General features: G+C 42.0%; 1 annotated feature.

Annotated features, from left to right (window-relative positions):
* Nucleotides 1,367–1,850: a transcriptional cis regulatory region, noted in NCBI's record as "candidate enhancer chr11.4678 targeted for multiplex CRISPR interference". NCBI's record gives its function as "positively regulates expression of the PICALM gene with high confidence and the PRSS23 gene with lower confidence in K562 cells {active_cell/tissue: K562}" and the evidence as "EXISTENCE:mutant phenotype evidence [ECO:0000015][PMID:30612741]".

Genomic DNA, 1,850 nt, shown 5'->3' on the forward strand with positions numbered 1-1,850 from the left:
CAAAAGACAAAGAACACCTTCATGAGGCAAGGTCAGGGCCAGACATAACATCAGTGTGATTTGATTTAAACCATTATCCTGCACTGTTTCCTCTCAGAAATGTTATTGCCTCTCTTCAACCCCATCATTGTTAAAAAATGGACAGAATCTTAGAACTGAGACATATGTGACCTAAGGAAATGTGCTTGCCTATAAATATGGTCCCATAAAGTCTGCCTGTACTGAAGCCAAGAGCAGCTCTCAAGCAATAGACAAAATTTCTTTTGCGGACTCTTGTTATTTTTTCTACCCTTTCCTCCCAGGTTTCTAACACTGTTCACTGATTATCATGGGCCTCTGCTATGATGCACCCAGTGTGGAAAACATCTAAGCCTTCAGTTCAGTGTCTCCCTTCCCTTCTCACTACCCTTAAAAGAAGGGTAGTGAGGTATAGTGGAAAAGAGTAAAGCACTAAGACTCAAATAAATCTCACACCCAGCTCCTCCATTTGTTGATGGAGCCTCAGTTTCTATAATCTACTAACACTTACTATCTCCTACCTCTGCTAATCACCCCTGAGTCCCTTACCAGCAAGAACCATGCATTATTTCTTCTTTTTATCTCATACTACTTAGTGTATAGCATGCAGCAGAGGCTTGACACATGCCTCTGGAGTAAAATTGAACCAACTTGACACATAATCTTGCATGGATCATGAAATGTGGAATGTCTGTGCTAAAAGGAACTCAAAGACCTACCCAGTGCAGTGTCTGCAAACACAAGGCAGTTGCAACCCACTCCCCTCTTCTGTGCTAAATGGACAGAAATGACTAAATAGTCACAATATTCTTTCTAGCAGAGAGTCTTTCCTGACCTAAGCTTCACAATTTTCAATGGAGCTCCCTTGGAGGCCACTGCTGAAATTAGCACTGGAGAAAAAAACCTATGTACCATTCTGGATTAAGTATAACTTGCATTTTATAAATGAAGAAACCCAGACCTAGATAGGTGATATGATTTGGCCAAGGTCACACAACTAATTGTAGGGTGAATTCAAAATAGAACGTAGCCAGCCCTCCATATCCACAGGTTCCAAATCAGAGGATTAAACCAAAAACAGATAAAAAATATTTGGAAAATTTTTTTTGAAATAACACAATAACAAAAAATAATACAAATTTAGGCCGGTCGTGGTAGCTCATGCCTATAACCCCAGCACTTTGGGAGGCCAAGGTGGGTGGATCACTTGAGGCCAGGAGTTCGAGACCAGCCTGGCCAACATGGCAAAACCCTGTGTCTACCAAAAATACAAATACTCCTTGGCTTGAAGGCATTGAGACTTCTGTTAGAATCCAAATGTTAAGCTGTGGATAGAGCACTGGATGGACAGCATGGAGACCTATACAGTCCCTAGGTATGGGGAGAATTTCTAGCAATGACGAATGTGCTTTTTGGTGGGAGTGGTGGGGTGCTTGGCAGACAGGAGAGCCTTAGAGTAATGTGGATACCTTCTTGGTATTTCAGAAGGCAAGTCAATTGCTCAGCACACTTTCACTGAAGGCCTCTTCCAGGCACAGATGCAAGGACTTAGAGGCATAGATAGATAAAACCAGGACTCTGCCCAGGGCTTATAGACCAAAAAACAAACATTGTAAAAAAAACCACAATGATAAGTGAACTAACAGAGATATGCCTAGAGCCTTGCAACGGCAAAAGGACATGACCACACATTGCCTAGAGAAGTCATAGGGAACTTAACTGAGGAAGTAGCTTCTGAGCTGATTATTTGAAGAGAAGTCACAGTTTTCCCAGGAAATTAAGAAGGAAAGAGTGTTCCGTCACAGAGAACTGTGTGTACAATGGCAAAGGGC

Source organism: Homo sapiens, chromosome 11 (assembly GCF_000001405.40).
Source record: "Homo sapiens chromosome 11, GRCh38.p14 Primary Assembly".
In the NCBI taxonomy this organism is placed as follows: domain Eukaryota; kingdom Metazoa; phylum Chordata; class Mammalia; order Primates; family Hominidae; genus Homo; species Homo sapiens.